The sequence below is a fragment of the Homo sapiens genome, chromosome 4, assembly GCF_000001405.40.
Source record: "Homo sapiens chromosome 4, GRCh38.p14 Primary Assembly".
Lineage (NCBI taxonomy): Eukaryota > Metazoa > Chordata > Mammalia > Primates > Hominidae > Homo > Homo sapiens.
The window spans coordinates 19,499,165-19,520,670 of NC_000004.12; the positions used below are offsets into that span (position 1 = coordinate 19,499,165).

Consider the following 21,506-nt stretch of genomic DNA (forward strand, 5'->3'; position numbering starts at 1 on the left):
GTTCCCGTTTTCCTCATATAAAAACTAAATTATTACTTCCATCTTTCATGGATTCAGATCTTGATTGTACTGGAACTAGTAATAGTCTGTGTAATGCAAATAATGTTTTCTTATTAATCAAATTCCAATTATCCTATTTGCTTTATGAAATCTCACACTGTAGGAGAACTGCCTCTGCTTATATTTTGCAGCATTTCCTTTGAAAGGGAAGTAATTTTTCTTCATACATTTTTAAATAGAATCAGAAAATATATGGTTTGTGGTTTTCAGCTAGCACAGTTTTCATAAATTGTATCTTCTTGGGGGGTGGGGGTGGGAAACCCAGATACTTTCTAACTGTATTTTCTTCATGATGAAAAATTTTGTTCATTTTGTGATAAGAGAAAGGCATGTGGAGATGAAGTAGAATGCCTCATTCCAGCTTCATTATTAATTTTCTATATGACTGTAGTAATATTACACCAACTTTCTGAAGCTACATTTTTCTCTCTCAATAATGATAATAATAATAACAAAAATGATGATAACAATTCTTAATTAGAAGGGTTTTGAAATGATTAAAGGTAGTATATGAGATATAACTTAGTCCATCTTGAGTTTTCTGATAACATTAGTTGTCCATAATATTGCTGCTGTTTTTTGATTACTACCATTATTTTGTTTTCTTTCTTTTTTTTTTTTTTGTTTGAGATGGAGCCTCGCTCTATCACCAGGCTGGAGTGCAGTGGCGGCATCTTGGCTCACTGCAACCTCTGCCTCCTGGGTTCAAGCGATTCTCTTGCCTCACCCTCCTGAGTAACTGGGACTATAGCCACGGGCCACCACACCCAGATAATTTTTGTATTTTTAGTGGAGACGGGGTTTCACCATGTTTGCCAGGATTGTCTCGATCTTTTGACCTCGTGATCCACCCGCCTTGGCCTCCCAAAGTGCTGAGATTATAGGCGTGAGCCACCGCGCCCAGCCAATTAATACTATTATTACTGCTTTTTAGAAACATGTCATCTATTTTAATTGTCTGAATAGGGAAGAAAAAGGAGCCATACTCCTTCCTCAATGATTTGGTAATGACATAAGTGCCACACATAGATACAGATCCATGAAAGAAGCACTGTTGGGCTGGATTTCTAAAACCTACACCTTCATGATTATAAAGATTGTCTCTCTCCTATGAACAAATGTGGATATAACATCGGAAATTCCATTTTGATTTTTCCATGTAGTCTATAAGCTATTGGGCCATAAATTCTACTTTCATGAACTTGTCCTAGTGATCCTGGGAAGCCACTTATCCTTTCCTAATGTCAGTTTTTCATTTGAAAATGGTCAATAATGTTTTAATTATATTAATCTTGATATTATGAGACTGCTATAAGCAAATAAGATTATATATGTATGCACATACACATATACATGAATATATATACATATATACGTATATATGTATTTCTTTATATCAGTGTGTTTCTTTATATCAGTGTGAGAATGGACTAATACACACCTATTATAATTATTTTACTTATGATTCCTATTTTTTTCTGTGTCTTTCCCACATCCTTTGTCCTTTAACAGCAAGATGATCCAATAGTGTTTATCAAAAAATAAGTGTTTTTGTAAATCAGAGAATTTATTTGTGTTTTCTTTTTTTAGATGCATATATATGTAATTTATAAATTGCAAAAATAGTTACACAAATACCGCTAATGAAGTGTTACAGTAATTAAACACAATATAAACATTTATTCATATTTTGTAATATTGAAAACACAAATGCCAACTAAGTTCAATACTATAAACTGAGTTCAATTAGTTTTAACATTATGATTCTTATGAGATATAAATATGTAGGGTTTTTTTCATAATATTACCTTTCCATAGCATTGTTTCCAGGCAGTACTCTGATTTTCACGTTAAGACTGCAGATACTTATATTTTGGTCTATTATAAAATTACATTTCAATCCCCATTTTTTGTGACAGTTGTTTATTTACTTATATACTCAGCCATGTATATAGAGACTGTGACTTTTTTTCCAGCAAGACAATTTTTGCATTCATGAACAGTGATAGCTCTTAAAAACGACACTGTTGTGGCATTGTTTCTGGACAGATACTAATTCTTACCACATGGAAAGTTTCAACCTGATCAAAGATTTTATCACTAGTTACTGTCTTACTGGGGTAAGCCATATTTGAAAAAAGTATATAAAAGTTGTGACACCCATCTAAATAAATTTTATATATATATATATGAATTATATATATATATATGAATTATATATATATATATATATATATGAGCAAATGTGGAAGCTATTTACTCTAGTATAGAAATCATGATAACTACATCCAGATAGAATTTGAAAACTCTAACCAAAAATCTGCCATACATTACCTGATTTTCTTTCTTTCTTTTTTAAGGGATTCTTAGCAAAAATTGTTTCTGTATTTGCACATAACTAATTAGTGTAGGTGAATCCGTATTACAGGAAGCCTCCTTTGGATGAAGCTCTCTTAGTAATTTAGTTTCCCCTGAGTGATCATGAGAGTTGTAAGGATTAAAATAGTAAGTTTATAAAACACTTGGACCAGTCCCTGGCAAATAATAAGAACTCAATAATTTATAATTTTTTTTTACTAATAAAGAAAACTATACTGCAAAGGCTAGAGAGACAAATTTCCTCACTACCAGGTCCTGTTGTTTTGAAACACCACAAACTGAAGCTCAGTTTCCTCTTCTGCAAGTTGAAACTGTTTCCTCCTTGATATTTTCTTGGTGCCTTCTCCATGCATCAGTTATAGCGTTTTCCACCTTGATATGGTTTGGCTGTGTCCCCACCAAAATCTCATCTTGAATTGTAGTTCCCATAATCTCCATGCATTGTGGGAGGGAGCCAGTGGGAGGTAATTGAATCATGGGGCGGTTACCCTCATGCTATTCTTGTGGTAGTGAGTGAGTTCTCACAAGATCTGCTTGTTTTATAAGGGGCTTTCCTCCTTAGCTAGGCACTTCTCTCTCCTGCTGCTATATCAAAAGGATTTGTTTGCTAGTCCCTTTCTGCCATGCTTATAAGTTTCCTGAGGCCTCCCCAGCAATGTGGAACTGTGAGTCAATTAAACCTCTTTTCCTTTATAAATTACCCAGTCTCGAGTATTTCTTTATATCAGTGTGAGAATGGACTAATACACACCTATTATAATTCTTTTACTTATGATTCCTATTTTTTCCTGTGTCTTTCCCACATCCTTTGTCCTTTAACAGTAAGATGATCCAATAGTGTTTATCAAAAAATAAGTGTTTTTGTAAATCAGTCAGAGAATTGATTTGTGTTTTCTTTTTTTTAATTTATTTTATTTATTTATTATTTTTAGACAGAGTCTCACTCTGTCGCCAGGCTGGAGTGCAGTGGCGCGGTCTCAGATCACTGCAACCTCCACCTCCCGGGTTCAAATGATTCTCCTGCCTCAGTCTCCCGAGTAGCTGGGACTACAGGCATGCGCCACCATGCCGGGATAATTTTTGTATTTTCAGTAGAAACGGGGTTTCCCTATGTTGGCCAGGCTGGTCTTGAACTCTCGACCTCGTGATCCACCGCCTTGGCCTTCCAAAGTCTTGGGATTACAGGCGTGAGCCACCACGCCTAGCCTGATTTGTGTTTTCTATTTAGGTAACTTGTGATTTTCATTTTGCCCTAGTTTGGATTGAAATGAGGCTAACTCAAGTACTGTTTTCAATGTTTAATTTTATATTTTATCTTATATGGCTCATGATATCCTGATGAAAGAGGTGTGGTGTCATTTCCTAGATGACAAACTGAGGCTCAGCCAGCATGTTAAATATTCACAACAAAGCTGCGGGGTCAGAGCCAGGGTTTAGACCAGGTCTTTTAGTCAGTAGTCTTTGTATACTATCTTATGCTGATTCTGTTGATATTTACATTGACAAAAAAAGAAAAGAAAAGAAATATTGAACAATCTTAAAAGATATCAGTTAAATAACTAACTAACATCTGAATGTAGGGCCACATCTATCTTACATGGATAGTGAGGCATGTAAGAGACCTGAATGATGTTGCCAGCCTTCTGGGAGATTAATTACAACATTTCCCAAACAAACACACACACAAGCACAGTTACCACTTAGTGGTTCTTCAACAAGTTCAAAGTGTTACTCAATCCTGGGTGCATCACAGCTACAGTTGTGTGTTTGAAGATAAGGTGTAGGAACAGCTGTTGTCAGTGTTTTATGATCTCCTGCCTAACAGGTTCACCACTGTGTCTTCTTTACCTAGGAAATGGACAGAGCGTATAACAAAGGCTCAATAAATATGTGTTGAATAAATTTGTTGAATGAATTTTGTTTAATATAAAAATTTGTTTTAAAAAGTCCTGTTTATGGTATTCCAGGTCTGTGCCATAAAATTGATATACATTTATTCGTTCATTTGATTCAACAATTATTGATACCTTCATGTTTTAGATTCTATATGTCCATGGAACTCATTTTCTGTGTCTCCTTTATTCTGTTAGAATTGCCTAGTTTGTTGTTACCTAGAATTCTGTATCACATTCATTATTTTTACCATACTGTAGTATTTTTAAAATAAATTTTCTTTTTTCTTTTTAAATTCAATAGTATTAGTCTCATGCTAAAAGATAATATCCGTGAAGTCACCTATTCGATGTGATTGTTATATTTTTCTAATACATAAAATTAAATAAATATATTATTGATATAGACATATGTATTTATCATTTGAAACTATCGCACAAAAAGTTTTTGGGTTTAAGGAACAGTTTGGAAAATACTGATCTGAATTGACCCTGTTAATTTGGAGTTAACACATTGAAGACGATGGTGGTTAACTGGTATAATCAAGGTCAAATAAATGGTTCATGGCAGCACACACCAAAACACAGGTTTTCTTTTATGAATAAGTGATGCCTCATATACTTCACTTTAAATTAGAAGCATTATCAGTACATACTACAATATTCATTCATTTTATAGTGTAACATTATTATTTTTTGCTTCTTACAGTATTGTAAAAAAATATTTGTGGGGACATGGGCCCAGTCATGTTTACCGATTGAGGGCTCTAGGTTCAGGTTGTAGTCAAATCCCGGCTCTAACACTTACCAGATTTTTAATATTAGGAAAGTGATTTCACTTCCTTGGGCTGGGATGTCCTTATCTATATAAATATGCATAATAAATATTATTTTTAAAGATAGGATAATAATACCTATGTAGAGACACAGTTTTGCCATTAAATAAAATTATCTATGCTGGCATTTCAACAATACCTGGCACATATTAATTAGCTATGTTAACTCTTAAAATTGCTATGACTATTGGAGAATTTGATTAATGCTATTGATCTTATTTATTGAAAACTATATAGTTGCACATAAAATCAAAATTTTGAAGACAAAGATCAGAGTTTTCTCAGACTTCTTAAAGCTTGAAACTTCTAGCTTAAGAGATCTATTGAAATTCTTAAAGATTCAAGTAATAGGTAAAAAGAATTGCCCTATTTCTAATAGTTTTTCTTGAAAACAAATTGGTTATCAACTTCCTAAGTCAACTCAGCAAATACAACAACTTTTTAAAATAAATTATAATATAGTGAGCTGAGGAAATGTTATTGTAGTAATCTTAATTATATAAGATCATATGAACCCACTTTTTAAATATAGAGGGCAAGAATATTGCTCATATAAAGCAATCTGTTTAAATTATTGATAACAGAGTTATGGAACATGTTAGAAGTAAAGATTTTTAATAAAAAGGCATATAGCATTTCTGCACACATAGAGATATGTTGGATAGATAAGGATAAATAATAATTCTGAAGCTCCATTCTTTTCCTTGCTTGTCTACAGTGCTGTTCCTTGAGAAGTTTCAGAAGAAAAATAGGTGGATTGGATGTGAGTGACTGAGTTAGGAAGCCATTAGGTATCTAAGAACCAACATTCTTAGATATAGCCCTACACTTCTCACAAACATGAGAGAGAAATCATAGAGGAGGCCTATAGGAGAGTGACAGAGTTAAAAAGAAATTCAAGAATAGTGAAAGAAGGCACATAGAGAAAAGAAGAGAGAGAGGCCATGTCTAGACTAATAACATTCTGAGGACAGAGGAATGCAGATAGAAATAGGAGAAGGTTTTGGAAAAAATATTTCATAGGGCAAGAGTAGACCAAGAATAAAAAAGAATCTTGAAAATTATCAGTATACTTCAACCAAACCACAGGAAATTTATAGTTAAAAAAAGAATAGACTTTCAATGGAAGCAAAAGAAGTCGACATGATCATCATCATCCTCTGTCTTCTGTTAGAGTATAAACACAGGCACAAGGGCTTTAGCCAGACCACTGGATGCATAGAACCGAACTGAGAATGGTGGTACCAGTGGATAGATGGGCCAAATGAGAAAGCAAAACATTAAGGACAAACCTAAATTGAGACATAAGAGCATGCCTGAATCCATGAATTTATTTAAATATTTTAAAAAGAAAGTATAAAATTACTAATGAATTTTAAAATTCATCTCAGAAAACAGCAGACCATGAAGATTATTTTTAATATATTCAGTGCTTAAAAGAAAATTGATAGGTTGGGCTAAATCATAGAATACAGAATTACCTATTTCTTGTCCAATATTGCAGGCATGTGTGTTCTTCCTACCTCCCACTAAAATACATTATTAATAATACAGTAATACCTTCTCAACTACAAATTTTGCTTCATATGGATAAAACATATAATTTTGGATTTTTTTATAAATGTGAGGATTTTGTTTCCCTTATATCTACGATGTGGACTTTTCCCCATGAGAATAATTAAGAAACCTGGAAAATGGTCATGGCAACTAGGAGACGGAGCCAAACAGCACCCAAGTGTGCATGAGGCTTTTGCTATCACTAATGGAGGAATAAAAGAAGTAGGAGAAAGTAAAGTCAGATTTGAACTACATGGTCTTATGTGCTAGGATATATGGGGCAGGTATGAATAAGAGGGACTGAACAGATAATGCTTTTGTCCTTCTATGAGACCATAATAGTTCCGAAAGGTGATAGATCAGTATTCTTAAGTACAACATCAGAGAGCTTTAGACTTTCGAATGGACAACAAAGTGTAGAAAAATCATGCCTGTTAATTAAATAATATCATCAACAAAGCTCAATTGTTTACAAGCAACTTATTATAACTGTAGAATAAGGAAAGCATGTAATTATTATTAAGGGAAGAATAAATAGAAATTAAATGAACAGTATATAAATTATTGATTAAAATATATAAGATATAATTGATTATTTACTTATTGTTTTATTTAATATATTGAGTACCAAATAGGTCAAGGACTTGGCTAGGCAATTTTAAAAATGTTATTTTATTTTTATATTTTAAGAGCTTTTTAAAAGAAGAATTTTAGGTTCACACCAAAATTGAGAGGAAGGTAAGACATCCCATATACTCCCTCTCCCTATATGTTCATGACCTCCCTCATTAACAACATCCCCCAACAGAGTGGTGCATTTGTAATAAATGACAAATCTATGTTAATACAACATTATCACTTAATGACCATAGTTTACATTAGGATTCATTCTTCTACATAGATTTGAGACCAGGTAATTTTAATACATTATCTCTTAATTTTGAAACAGCCACAGTGTAACTTAAGCTTTGCTAAAATAAATGATATATTTAAATCATAAAACTGACAAGTGATAAACTCACAAGTGACAATAACCATTATCTTTCATTGAGGTCATAGTGCAAGGTTGGTACAAAGATAAATCGGCTATTTATATTACCTTGTTTAATCCTCATATTAACCTTATAAGAGAGGTGTTATTGTTTCCATTTTAAAGATTAGGAAACTGTGGTTTATAAATGCTAAGAAACATGCAAGGATCACCCAACCATTAAATGATAAAGCTTGTATTTAAACCCATGCCAACAAAAGATGTAAATCTTACCTTTAAAATGTGAGTTATTACAGCAATCATATCTATCAGAAAAGCAGAATTTCTGTGACTAACAAAGTATAAGGGTTTATTTTTAGGAATTAGACCTTACACAATTATGGGGGCTGGTTAAGAAGTCTGTGTGGCCAGGCGCAGTGGCTCATGCCTGTAATCCCAGCACTTTAGGAGGCCAAGGTGAGTGGATCACTTGAGACCAGGAGTTTGAGAACAGCCTGGTCAACATAGTGAAACTCCATCTCTACTAAATACAAAAATTAGCCGGGCATGGTGGCACATGCTTGTAATCTCAGCTACTTGGGAGGCTCGCTTGAACCGGGAGGCAGAGGCTGCAGTGAGCCAAGATTGAGCCATTGCACTCCAGTCTGGGCAACAAGAGCAAACTCTATCTCAAAAAAAAAAAAAAAAAAAAAGAAGTCTATGCAACAGCATTGTCTTTGCATTTGGTGTTGGGTGGGCCTGAATGATCCATAAGTTAGCTGGGGCATCTGATGGGTAGGGTAACTCAAGTGTAGGAGAGCAAAGACCATCAGAAACTTATGAAGTCATACATCTTCACAGATACCCACATCCGTATCTCATGATTGCCAACTCTGATGGTGCAGGTGACCTGCAAGAGAATTTGGCACCTTTTGCCATGGAGCTAATTACATATCTGGCCCAGGATTTGCAGAATTTGAAGGGAGAAGCCTGGTAAGATTGGGGGTAGCTGTGGGCCAGGCAGCTTTCCCTCACTCAGCTAACTGTTTCAGTACATTAATGAAGACACGTGCAAGATGTCATGGTGCCTATCACACTATGTCTGTCTTCTGAGTGTCAAACTGGTTCTTCCTTCATCTCTTTCCAAAAATCTTGCAAATCTCTCTGTATGCATCTCTCACTTGGAACCACATAGAGAAGAGAATTCTACAAAAAGTATCAGTTGAGCTAAGTTTTATCACCACAGGGACCTAGTGAGAATATATCATGAAAATACACACATGTAGGTGCATGTGCATGTGTCTGTGTGTTCACTTTTGACATTCGTTTTATTGATTTTTTTCCCCATTAGTTGTGAGTTTCTTCAACTCTTACTTTCCTCAACTTCATCAGCTCTCTTAATCATAGTGGTTTTCAGCAACGCCATGATTAGAGTGGGACTACTGAATGCAGTATTTTCTTTGAAGAGCAGAATAGCCATAATAATAGAATTTAAAATAACATAATAATTATTATTCAATTGTCCAACCCAAATAACAATAATAAATAACCCAAATAACAATAAATCTCTAACCCAAATAACAATAAATAAAATTGTTGCATAGTTTCACTTAACAGTTCCTGGAAGTAAAACTGCATCGTATTTTGCATTGACACGTCCAATCAATCTGTAGTGGCTGTTGAAAGTGCTGCCTCAAGACAACCTCTGAAGAACATATGAGGTCAATGGGCTTGAGGGTGATTAATTACCAATGCGTTTCAAAGATTCTAATCAAAGAGTGAGTCACATATGCTGCACAATAGATATTGCATTCACACTTTAAAAAACAATCATTATACATAGATAGCTACCGTCACCCATCTCATGCCCTGGTTATTAGTAATACAGAAGTCCTTCCTGTGACCTGAATACTTTGCTTCTACTAATGCAGCCTAAATTTGCCTTTTCTTTTTCAGCCACAAATTACATTAAATCCCCAAGATTGTAACTGCGTGTTCTGGTTGCAAACAAGGACTTTGTCATCCTATACTTAGTTGAATTTCTGAAGCAAAGCAAAGGACTCTTTATATTGATTTTGTAAGGGAGATACTATTGTTCCCATTTTATGGATAAGGAAATTGAGGCGCCTAAATGCTAAGTAACTTGCAAGCATCACTTAACCAGTAGATGGCAAAGTTTACATTTAAACAAACCCATGACAACAAAAGGTTGGCATTTTATATATTTCTATGTGTCTGTTTTGACCCATTGTTTCAGCCTGTTGACAAACATTTTGAATATCATAGTGATCAACTGGATATTTTTTAGATGACCTATCTGTCTGAGCCTGCTAGAATGAGTTTTTGCTTTCCAAGTAAAAGTGTTTTAAGCAGTTCTCCATAGCTATAAGAACACCATTCTGTCATTTGGTTCTCCCACTTCTTGGTTGACCTCATATGTTTCCTTTTTTTTTTTTTTTTTTTTGTGAGACAGAGTCTCACTCTGTCACCCAGGCTGGAGTGCAGTGGCGCAATCTCAGCTCACTGCAAACTTCGCCTCCCAGATTCAAGCTATTTTCCTGCCTCAGCCTCCGGAGTAGCTGGGATTACAGGTGCCTGCCACCACGCCCAGCTAATTTTTGTAGTTTTAGTAGAGACAGGGTTTCCCCATCTTGGCTAAGCTGGTCTTGAACTCCTGACCTTGTGATCCACCTGCCTCGGTCTCTCAAAGTGCTGGGATTACAGGCATGAGCCAGCATGCCTGGCCTATTTCCTTTCTAAAAATATTTAAGAAATTTAAGTAATTTTTAAATTAATATCCACTTCCTTGAGGTTCAAAATCAACATTATACTCTGACATCTCGCTTTATGTATGAATTTTTGAAGGGTAAGGCCTTCTTTTGTTTTCTTTCTTGAAATGCATATCCTTCCTTCTTAAGTTGTTTTTGCACTTTCTCTTTTACATTAGCAAACCTTCAGTGATTAACACTGAACACTATGTAATCATCCCCTGATCCATATAATTGGGGCATTCATTATATTCACCACATAAGGTTGTTGAGATGATAAAAGCACAAAATAATTCATGTAGCACGCTGAATAGAATGCTGAAAATGCTCACTTTGAGTTAACTCTTGATTACTAGTCATGTGGCTTATCTGTTCTTCAGATATCTCTTTTGATTTTTGTCCAGGTCCCTGAAATCATCTCTTAGATAATTATCTTTTGCTTCTGGCCCTATTACTTTCTTCTTTCCTCACTGTGTTGGACACAAAGTGTATCAGAGTGAGCATAATACCAGAAAACAGGAAATGTGTAGGGTGATCAATAGGCTTGAAGGGATAAAAGGCTTACTGCGCCTATTAATTTTAAAAGGGGAAGATACCAGCTCCCTGCTACACCTAAAGACATGAGTGAGAGACTTCTGGTCATCACAAGGAAGGTCTGGAGTTGCTATCTATGCTCAGAAGCCGGAAGTGTTAAATGCTTTTCACTGAATGGGATGTTTGGCCTTAAGTGCCATGATAGTCAGGTGAAATCAATGCAATGAGCAACACAGCAGAAGAATCATGAGGGTTACTTGGTGGGGATATGGAGCAACAGGAATAGTGGGGCTCATAAGCTATATTCATATGCAGTCTGGAAGCATTTTATATGGATTTGAAATACAATATCATAATGTAATATAAAGCTATAATCGGTTGTGCCCAATTTGAAAGTATGTGATATCTCCCAGATCTTCAGAATTTATCGAGGAATACAAAATTTCCAAGATTACAATTTAGATAACTTATATACTGTACTTTAATATTATTAAAAGGAAGTGCCATTTATATGGCAAATAGAAATACTAACAATCCTTGTTGGTATTACTTGAATCTCACAGTTATTTCCCTGTGTTGAAACTTCTGCAGATGCTTTGGTGATGCAAGCTCTGTGCTTACACTATTATTATAATTTAAAATCTTCTTAAATGTTCTACAACACTGCTGTGTAAAAGCTAGAGATAATGCAGTAAAATGCACTAAGAGATCAATAACCTGGAAAGGAAGTTAAATAACATAAAAATGCCACAAAGAAGACCAAATGACCTCCATAATATGCCATACATTTAATTTAAGAGTGAGTAACCTGAGAAATATTAGTGATAATTCTGAGGAAACCACAAAGCATTATTAAAGAAACTATAGCTTTAATTTTACAAAAATAATCATATAACTGGTCAAGGATAATGAGAAGATGCTGACTGCAAGATCAATGCTACTGACATGTGCTTCTAACCCAAGTTACCATCTGTACTAAGGCATAAAGTATTCTTGATTTTAGAGGAGATAATATATTTAAATATACATATTTTTGCAAGAATTTACTTGTGCTTAGAAAGTATATACATATGCAAATATGTATTACAATGTTTGTAGATGCATGTGCTCTGAAAAACAACCTCCCTTTTTTATTTTAGTCTGTGAGAAAAGTACCCTTAAATGCTTTCATTCTGCTATTGTGTTATGAATTTAGAAGTCAGACTGATTTCTCTATTCTACCACTGTAAAACTCTGAGCTACAAATCTCAGATCTGTTTTCTCAAACACCCAACTTCCCAGATTTGATTGAAGAGTAAACGAAATGATGTGTGTTAAGTTCTTAATAGAGAACAAGCTCTTAACCTTCGGCACATACCATCAAAATAGTAATAGCTAATGCTACTGTAGCCCTTATGACAGGTCAGCCTTCATTCTAAATGTCTCACACGTATCATCTCCTTTAGTCCTCAAAATACTTCTCTGATGTAAATACTATACTATCACTCCCATTTTTCAGATGAGGACATTGAGCAACAAGAAAGCTAAGCAGCTTTTATAAATTCCCATGCCAGAAAGTAGCTAATTTGAACCTCAGCAATCCAGCTTTAAAAACCTGTGTACAGCTTAGTGCTTGCCATTGACAAACGTTAGCTCTCGACTTAATCCTGGGTCACTTATAAGCAGACTGCTACTTCAACCTAGATCTCCACTCATTATGTATAAGTTGTTCATCCAGCATTCAAAATGAGACCAAATTAGATATTTGGTGATGATGCTGATGAGTGATTGTCAGCAAATCGGACACTGGTTGGAGTTTGGGACTATTTTCTATATAGACGCATATGCCAAAGTTAACTATTGCTTTGAAAAGTCTTCATTAATGAAGAATAGAAAGAACCAGAAACATAAGATGAAGGACTAGGCTCTAACTAGAGATCTTGAAAAGAAGCATAATATTCCAATAGTGGTAGTGTGGAGTGGGGAAGCTTGCAGTGCACAGGGGCCAAAAATATCATGATCCTGAGAAAATTTTAAGATAGCCATGGAAAACTAAAGGCATAGGCAATATTATGCTTGAAAACTGCCTAGCATTTTAATGGAGAGCTCTTTTCTCTTGTTAGAGAATATTAAAGCATGTAACAGCTGGCCAAGGGCCAAATGCACTTGAATACCCCATGTTCTCAAAAATGGTAGGGTTGTTGTTTCTACCTGGGATAGAGCTGACCAGAAAAATGAAATCCTTTAACTACTTTGCTTTTTAAATGGCGTTTGGGGGTTTATACTCAGAGTGAACTCACTAAACCACCTGTGTTTTTATTTTACTGAAACAAAAATGCTCTTTCCAAACTCTAATTAAAGTTTGCTGTTTAAGCTAGCCTTTTATGTGGTGACTGCAGCCATGGAGTGTGAGATCCTTTAATGTCTTATTGAGCCACTACTGTTGTTCATGGATAGGGGAATAATGGAAAGCCAAAATGTACATTTATTTCTGCCCAGTGGTAAATATTTGAAATTATAGTGCTTACATTTCAGAAAGCCATTAAACATAGAATAAATTGATATGAGTTTGACCCAGTTCAGGTTTGGAATTGTTGCAGGCATCATGCATTGTGATGCTATAGAAGGAAAGCTTTCTAAAACCTGCTGGTATCACCCTGGCACAATGCTATAAAAATTCTTGAAATCTTTTATTTCTGTATTAGACTTATGACCACACAAGGTGGAAGTAAGGACAACATTGCTGAAAATGACCTAGGCATTAATGAGATGGACTGCTGTGCAGGGAGTATAGAGCTCCTGATACCGGAAGAGGGAAAATCTTTTTCTTAACTCCTGACCTCCTCAGGCACCACATTTAGAAGGTTAATAGTGTGATGAATGAGAGGCACCTGAGTTGAAACCTTGATGTGGCTTCATCTCTTGCTCATTTGAAGACCTTTAGAAAAAAAATTTTTCTTTAACTTCTCTGTGGTTATGAAACTACACAGAAGTATTGGAGGATAGAATGATATAAAATGTATAAAGCTCATAGTGATAAATTTATATACATTTTTTATGGCTCAGCTCAAATCTGCCTCCTATAAACTGACGCCTATGGCCATTCCTTCCTCTGCTTCTGTCACATGAATCTTTGTGCTGCATAATTAACAAGAGAGGAAACACTACATATGCTCTAAGAGTGTCTGCTAAGAAGGGGAGCAGCATTACATGCTTATTTACCTTTGGAAGTAAAAAAGAAAATATGCTCCCCACCCCAATAAAAAGTTATTAGGCTAACAATTTAGACCAGGGGTCAGCCAACTAGGGCTCTCAGGCCAATTCCAGCCAGCTGCTTAGGTCAATAAAGTTTTATTGGAAAACAGCTATGCCCATTTATATCCATATGTCTATGGCAACTCTACTGCCACAACAGCAAAAGTCAAGTATTTGCAGCAAAGACCGTATAACCTACTAGACCTAAAGTAGTTACCATCAAGCCTTTTACAGAAAAAGTTTGTAGACTCCACTCTATGAACGTATGCCCCTAATAAATTATATGAATCTATCGTTCTCTCAGTTGGCTTCTGTTTTATTCTGTGGTTTGAAGGTGGTTCCCAATGTTTAAAGGTCAAGAAAGCAAGGGTTTTTTCCTATTGTCTATTATATGCAATGTATGCAACTCCTTCATATGGTACAGCTAAGGAAACAGTAACCTGTTCATACATAAGAAGAAAACTGACTATTGAAAGAATTCATAGGCTGGGCGCGGTGGCTCAGGCCTGTAATCCCAGCATTTTGGGAGGCCGAGTGGGCGGATCACTTGAGGCCAGGAGTTCAAGACCAGCCTGGCCAACATGGTGAAACCCAATCTCTACTAAAAATACAAAAAAAAAGGTGGGCGTGGTGGTGTGCACCTGTAATCTTAGCTACTCAGGAGGCCGAGGCAGGAGAATCACTTGAACCCGGGAGGCAGAGGTTGCAGTGAGCTGAGATCGTGCCATTGCACTCTGCCCTTGGAAATAGACTACAACTCTGGTTTAAAAAAAAAGAAAGTATTCATAGATGGTTTGTAGATTCTTCAGTGTGCCATTACTCAGAGGAAAGACAATTATAATTTCCACTCTAAAGTGATACTCTCACTTTAGGCACTAATGTTTAAGCTTCAGTCATGCTCCCTAATACCAATTTAAGTTGTGATTCGACTATACAATACAGCACAGTTAAAAATACCTTCAGCTGTTTCTTCAGATGTTTTGCAGCATTTTTAATGTTCTGCTTTATCATCCAGTCATAATCCTACATGCTTTTAGTCAAGGTACTCAATTAAGTTCTCTTTGAGCATGCTGACTCACATATGTATCTCTAGGCCTCTGACTTCCTTGTTCCTTCTACTTGGTGTAGCAGATACCACCAGGTGTCTTTCAATATCTACCCTTCCCTTTTTCTTGGAAATAGCTTTTTTTTTTTTTTTTACCAGAACATATGCCTGCATAGCCTCCCTTTTGGCTTGGAGTGGTCATGTGATTAGGTTATGCCTAATGGAAAATATAAGGGGAGGTGGTATGTGCAACTTCTGGGTCATGACCATATAGGGAGAGATTGTCCTTCTTGCCCTGGCTAATCTTCCACTATTCTGCAGCCTAGATTGTTAATGTAATAATGAGATACCCTGGACAACACAGAAATATTCTAAGAGTAGTGGAGAAACATGATAGGTTCCAGGTTTCTGATATTGGGGAGCTGCCAGAAAAGGCATAACAGTTGTAAGCAAGAGAAACATGCCTCTGACTTCTTGAAGCTACTTTATTTGGAGTCTCTCTTTTATGAAGCAATATCTACTTTCTTTTTGTTTTTGCTGTTTTCCTGGGACAGGGTCTTGCTCTGTCACCTAGGCTGGAGTTCAGTACAGTTTCAAACTTCTGGGCTCAAGAAATCCTCTTGCCTCAGCTTCCCAAGTAGCTGGGACTACAGGTGCATGCCACCATGCCTAGCTAATATGTTTATTTATTTTATTTATTTTGTCGAGACAGAGTCTTGCTATGTTGCCCAGGTTGGTCTCAAACTCCTGGGTTCAAGTGATTCTCCTGCCTCAGCCTCCAAAAATATTGGGATTACAGGCATGAGCCTCAATGTCCTGACCAATACCTATTTTCTGATGGAAACCCAGTCACTAGCCTCAAAGTGTGTACAGTCAAGTAATTAAGTTAACTGTTTATCAACTCGTTATATCAATGAGTATGTAATTTAAGTTTAAATATATGCAGGAATCTGTATCTTATAGAGGCTTTTAAAATTTTTATTTTTATTTTTTTTCAAAAGGATCTAATCAATGTGCTGTGAGAGGAAAATAAAATTCTCTTCTGAAGTAAAGACATCGAAAGTTCTAGAATTTATTATTTATTTCTGATACTTTGCACTTTGCTCTTTTCTGCCTGGTAAGCTCTTTCTTCCATGTGTATAGCATATACAGCTTTAGCATAGGAGTTTCTCCCTCACTTTCTTTAGGCCTCTGCACAAATATCACATGAATGGAAAAGATTTCCTGATGTTATGCAAAAGCATCCCTAATAGCATTGTTAACCACCTGACATACTCTATAGTCATGTATTTACTAAATGCCTGACCCTCCACACTCATACACTAAAAAATATGTTCTAGGCAATTCCAAACTGCATCTGTTTTACTTTATTAACTATTCTTTGGAATGAAGAAAAATGCCTGACAAGAACTAGATCCTTTGATATGGCTTGGCTGTGTCCCCACCCAAATTTAATCTTGTAGCTCTCCAAATTCCCATGTGTCATGGGAGGGACCTGGTGGGAGATAATTGAATCATGGGGATGGGTTTTTCTCATGCTGTTCTCATGAAAGTGAATAAATCTCACCAGATCTGATGGTTTTAAAAACCACAACTTCCCTGTACAAGCTCTCTTCTTTTGTCTGCTGCCATGTGAGATGTGCCTTTCACCTTCTGCCATGATCGTGAGGCCTCCCCAGCCACATTGAACTGTAAGTCCAATAAACCTCTTTCTTTTGTAAATTGGCCAGTCTTGAGTATATCTTTATCAGCAGCATGAAAACAAAATAATACAGTAAATAGGTAACAGTAGAGTGGAGCACTGATAAAAAGATATGCTAAAATGTGAAAGCAACTTTGGAACTGGGTAACAGGCAGAGGTTGGAATGGTTTGGAGGGCTCAGAAGACGACGGAAAAGTGTGGGAAAGTTTGGAACTTCTTAGAGCATTGTTGAATGGCTTTGACCAAAATGCTGATAGTGATATGAACCATAAGGTCCAGGCTGAGGAGGTCTCAGATAGAGATGAGGAAATTGTTGGGAACTGGAACAAAGGTGACTCTTGTTATGTTTTAGCCAAGAGACTGGCAGTATTTGCCCCCGCCCTAGAGATTTGTAGAACTTGCAACTTGAGAGAGATGATTTAGGGTATCTGATGAAAGAATTTCTAAGCAGCAAAGCATTCAAGAGATGACTTGGGTGCTATTAAAGGCATTCAGCTTTATAAGGGCAGCAGAGCATAAAAGTTCAGAAAATTTGCAGACTGACAATGTGATAGAAAAGAAAATCCCATTTTCTGAGGAGAAATTCAATCTGGCTGCAGAAATTTGCATAAATAACAAGGAGCTGAATGTTATTCCCCAAGACAATGGGGAAAATATCTCCAGGGCATGCCAGAGGTCTTCACAGCAGTCACTCCCATCACAGGTCCAGAGGCCTAGGAGGAAGAAGTGGTTTTCTGGACTGGGCCCAGGGTCCCTGTGCTGTGTGCAGCCTAGGAACTTGGTGCCCTGCATCCCAGCCACTCCAACTGCGGCTGAAAGGGGCCAATGTAGAGTTTGGGCAGTGGTTTCAGAGGGTGCAAGCCCCATGCCTTGACAGCTTCCACATGGTGTTGAGCCTGCATGCAGGTGCACAGAAATCAAGAATTGAGGCTTGGGAACCTTGGCCTAGATTTCAGAGGATGTATGGAAATGCCCAGATGTCTAGGCAGAAGTTTACTACAAGAATGGTGCTCTCATGGAGAACCTCTGCTAGAGCAGTGCAGAAGGGAAATGTGGGGTTGGAGCCCCCACACAGAGTCCCTACTGGGGCACCACCTGGTGGAGCTGTGAAAAGAGGGCCATTGTCCTCCAGACCCCAGAATGGTAGATCCACTGACAGCTTGCACTGTGTGCCTGGAAAAGCCGCAGACACTCAACACCAGCTCATGAAGGCAGCCAGGAGGGAGGCTATATCCTGCAAAGCCACAGGGGCAGAGCTGAACAAGAACATGAGAATCCACCTGTTGCATCAGTATGAGCTGGATGTGAGACATGAATTCAAAGGAGATCATTTTGGAGCTTTAAGATTTGACTGCCCTGCTGGATTTCAAATGTGCATGGGGCCTGTAGCCCTTTTGTTTTGGCCAATTTGGAACAGCTGTCTTTACCTGATGCCTATACCCCCATTGTATCTAGGAAGCAACTAACTTGCTTTTGATTTTATGGGCTCATAGGAGGAAAGGACTTGCCTTGCCTCAGATGAGACTTTGGACTGTGGACTTTTGTGTTAATGCTGAAATGAGTTAAGACTTTGGGAAACTGTTGGGAAGGCATGATTGGTTTTGAAATGTGAAGACATGAGATTTAGGAGGGGTCGGGGTGAAATGATATGGTATGGCTCTGTGTCCCCACCCAAATCTCACCTTGTAGCTCCCATAATTCCCACATGTTGTGGGAAGAACCTGGTGGGAATTAATTGAATCATGGGGGTGGGTCTTTCCCATACTGTTCTTGTGATAGTGAATAAGTCTCACAAGATTTAATGGTTTAAAAAAAGGGGGTGGGGTCCCTGCACAAGCTCTATTCTCTTGTCTGCCACCATGTGAGATGTGCTTTTCACCTTTGCCTATCATTGTGAGGCCTCCCTAGACATGTGGAACTGTTTTATTTGAGTCCAATAAGCCTCTTTCTTTTGTAAATTGCCTAGTCTTGGGTATGCCTTTATCAGCAGTGCCAAAAAAGATTAATACACCCCTAATAAAGTTTTGCTGAGTGATTGAATGAATCAATGACCACTTATCAAGAAGACCAGAACCACCATCATATAGACAGTAAAGGAGTAGTGACTGAGATGAGCCTCAGAGCTAGGCTGAACCAGCTCCTGAAGGTGCATGTCAGTCACATGAAGAGTTTTGTCTTTCTCCCAAGAGCAGTAGAAGACATTGAAAGGTTTTAAAGGGACCAGAGTGCTTGTGATCAGATTAGGGAATGTGAAGAGACCATTCTCTCTCCAGTGTGGAAAAGGGAGGGAAGTCAGAGTTGTAGTGGGGGAGCTGTGGCAGACCATTGTAGTCATTTAGGGAAGAGATTGTGGTCATGTGGATTTGGGTGGAACAGCAAGGCTATGCTTTGGAAAGAGTGCTGGTCGTTTTTCAAGTTTCTCTCATTTCATCTGCTCTCCCTAGGCTCTGTGTCCCAGGGCCTTAGTCAGCCCAGGCAGCTATAACAAATTACTATAGGCTGGGAGGCTTATATGCAGCAGAAATTTATTTCTTACTGGAAGGCTGGAAATCTGAGATCAGGGTGCCAGCATGGCCAGGTTTTGCTGAGGGATCTCTTCAGAATTTCAGACTGCTGATTTTTTTCTTTTTTTTTTTTTTGAGACGGAGTTTCACTCTTGTTGCCCAGGCTGGAGTGCAGTGGCATGATCGCAGCTCACTGCAACCTCCACCCCACGGTTCAAGTGATTCTCCTGCCTCAGCCTCCTGAGTAGCTGGGATTACAGGCACATACCACCACGCCTGGCTTATTTTCGTATTTTTTTAGCAGAGACGGGGTTTCACCATGTTGGCCAGGCTAGTCTGGAACCCCTGACCTCAGATGATCCAACCACCTCGGCCTCCCAAAGTGCTGGGATTACAGGAATGAGCCACCACGCCATGTCCAGACTGCTGACTTCTAACTTTATCCTTTCATGGCAAAAAGGGGAAGGACCCCTTCTAAGGTCTCTTGTATAAGGGCACTAAATCCATGCATATGAGTGGGCCCCAACTCCTGAAGGCCTCCACATATCATCATAGTGAGGATGGATTAGATTTTAACATATTTATTTTGGGGAAACATAAACATTCAATCTATAGCACCTAGATACCTTGCCTACTGGCTTCTGGCTGGATTTGCCAATAGGAAGCACCTGCAGGAGACTTGCGGGTGTAGGAAAGGGAGAATCAAAGTATTAATCCCACTTCTGCCTGAAAACAGTTTTCAGCGCAGTTACTGTGTGTCTTTTATGGTTCCAGCTCTCACCTCCCTCAGCCCCTCTTTCTGTGGTCTCAGCTGCCACGGGGCAGTCAACCTCCTTGGATCCAGCTCCTACATGGTGTCCCCAGCTTTGAGTGGTACCATGCTTTCTGCTCTCTCCCATTGTGAGACTGATAGATGTCTCCTGCAGTTGGTCATCTCTGGCTGGCCTTTTAGTCCCCTGTTTGGTTTACCAATAATTCATTATCTGACTAACCAATTTCCTCTATTATATTATGTATTTCTGAAAAACTCAAAGCATTTTTGTTTTATGGACAGGACACTGGCAGATACAGTTCTATAGTCTGCCACATTGATACCTTTCTTTAAAAAACTTTATTATAGAAATGAGTATTATACATATATGTATATACATACATACATACATACATACATACACACGTACATACATACACACGTACATACATACACACGTACATACACACGTACATACATACACACGTACATACACACGTACATACATACACACGTACATACACACGTACATACATACACACGTACATACACACGTACATACATACACACGTACATACACACGTACATACATACACACGTACATACACACGTACATACATACACACGTACATACACACGTACATACACACGTACATACACACGTACATACACACGTACATACATACGTATACACGTACATACACACGTACATACATACGTATACACGTACATACACACGTACATACATACGTATACACGTACATACACACGTACATACATACGTATACACGTACATACACACGTACATACATACGTATACACGTACATACACACGTACATACATACGTATACACGTACATACACACGTACATACATACGTATACACGTACATACACACGTACATACATACGTATACACGTACATACACACGTACATACATACGTATACACGTACATATACACGTACATACATACGTATACACGTACATATACACGTACATACATACGTATATACGTACATATACACGTACATATATACGTATATACGTACATATACACGTACATATATACATACATATATATATATATTCATGTAGTACAATTTCTTCTAGGAAGAAATTGCTACTTTAAATATGATGAATAGCATTGCAAGCTTCTTGGAAACAATGTTTACATCCCTTTATCTTCTTACTTTCCAGGTACTAGCTCCAAGTTTGCCTTGTTTAAATCAGAGAGAAAATGTTAGCAACACTGTGGCCTTAGGCATATGGATGT

General features: G+C 37.4%; 1 long non-coding RNA gene across 2 annotated transcripts in view, besides 1 other annotated feature; it reads left to right on the forward strand.

Annotated features, from left to right (window-relative positions):
* LOC105374511 (uncharacterized) overlaps window positions 1-21,506 on the forward strand; it is a 482,145-nt gene that overhangs the window by 43,747 nt on the left and 416,892 nt on the right. The gene's annotated exons all lie outside the window — the stretch shown is intronic.
* Window positions 4,042-4,211: an enhancer, noted in NCBI's record as "experimental_77374 CRE fragment used in MPRA reporter constructs". NCBI's record gives its function as "activates a minimal promoter by MPRAs in K562 erythroleukemia cells, with activity observed for the introgressed 4:19504914 variant allele {active_cell/tissue: K562}" and the evidence as "EXISTENCE:reporter gene assay evidence [ECO:0000049][PMID:34662402]".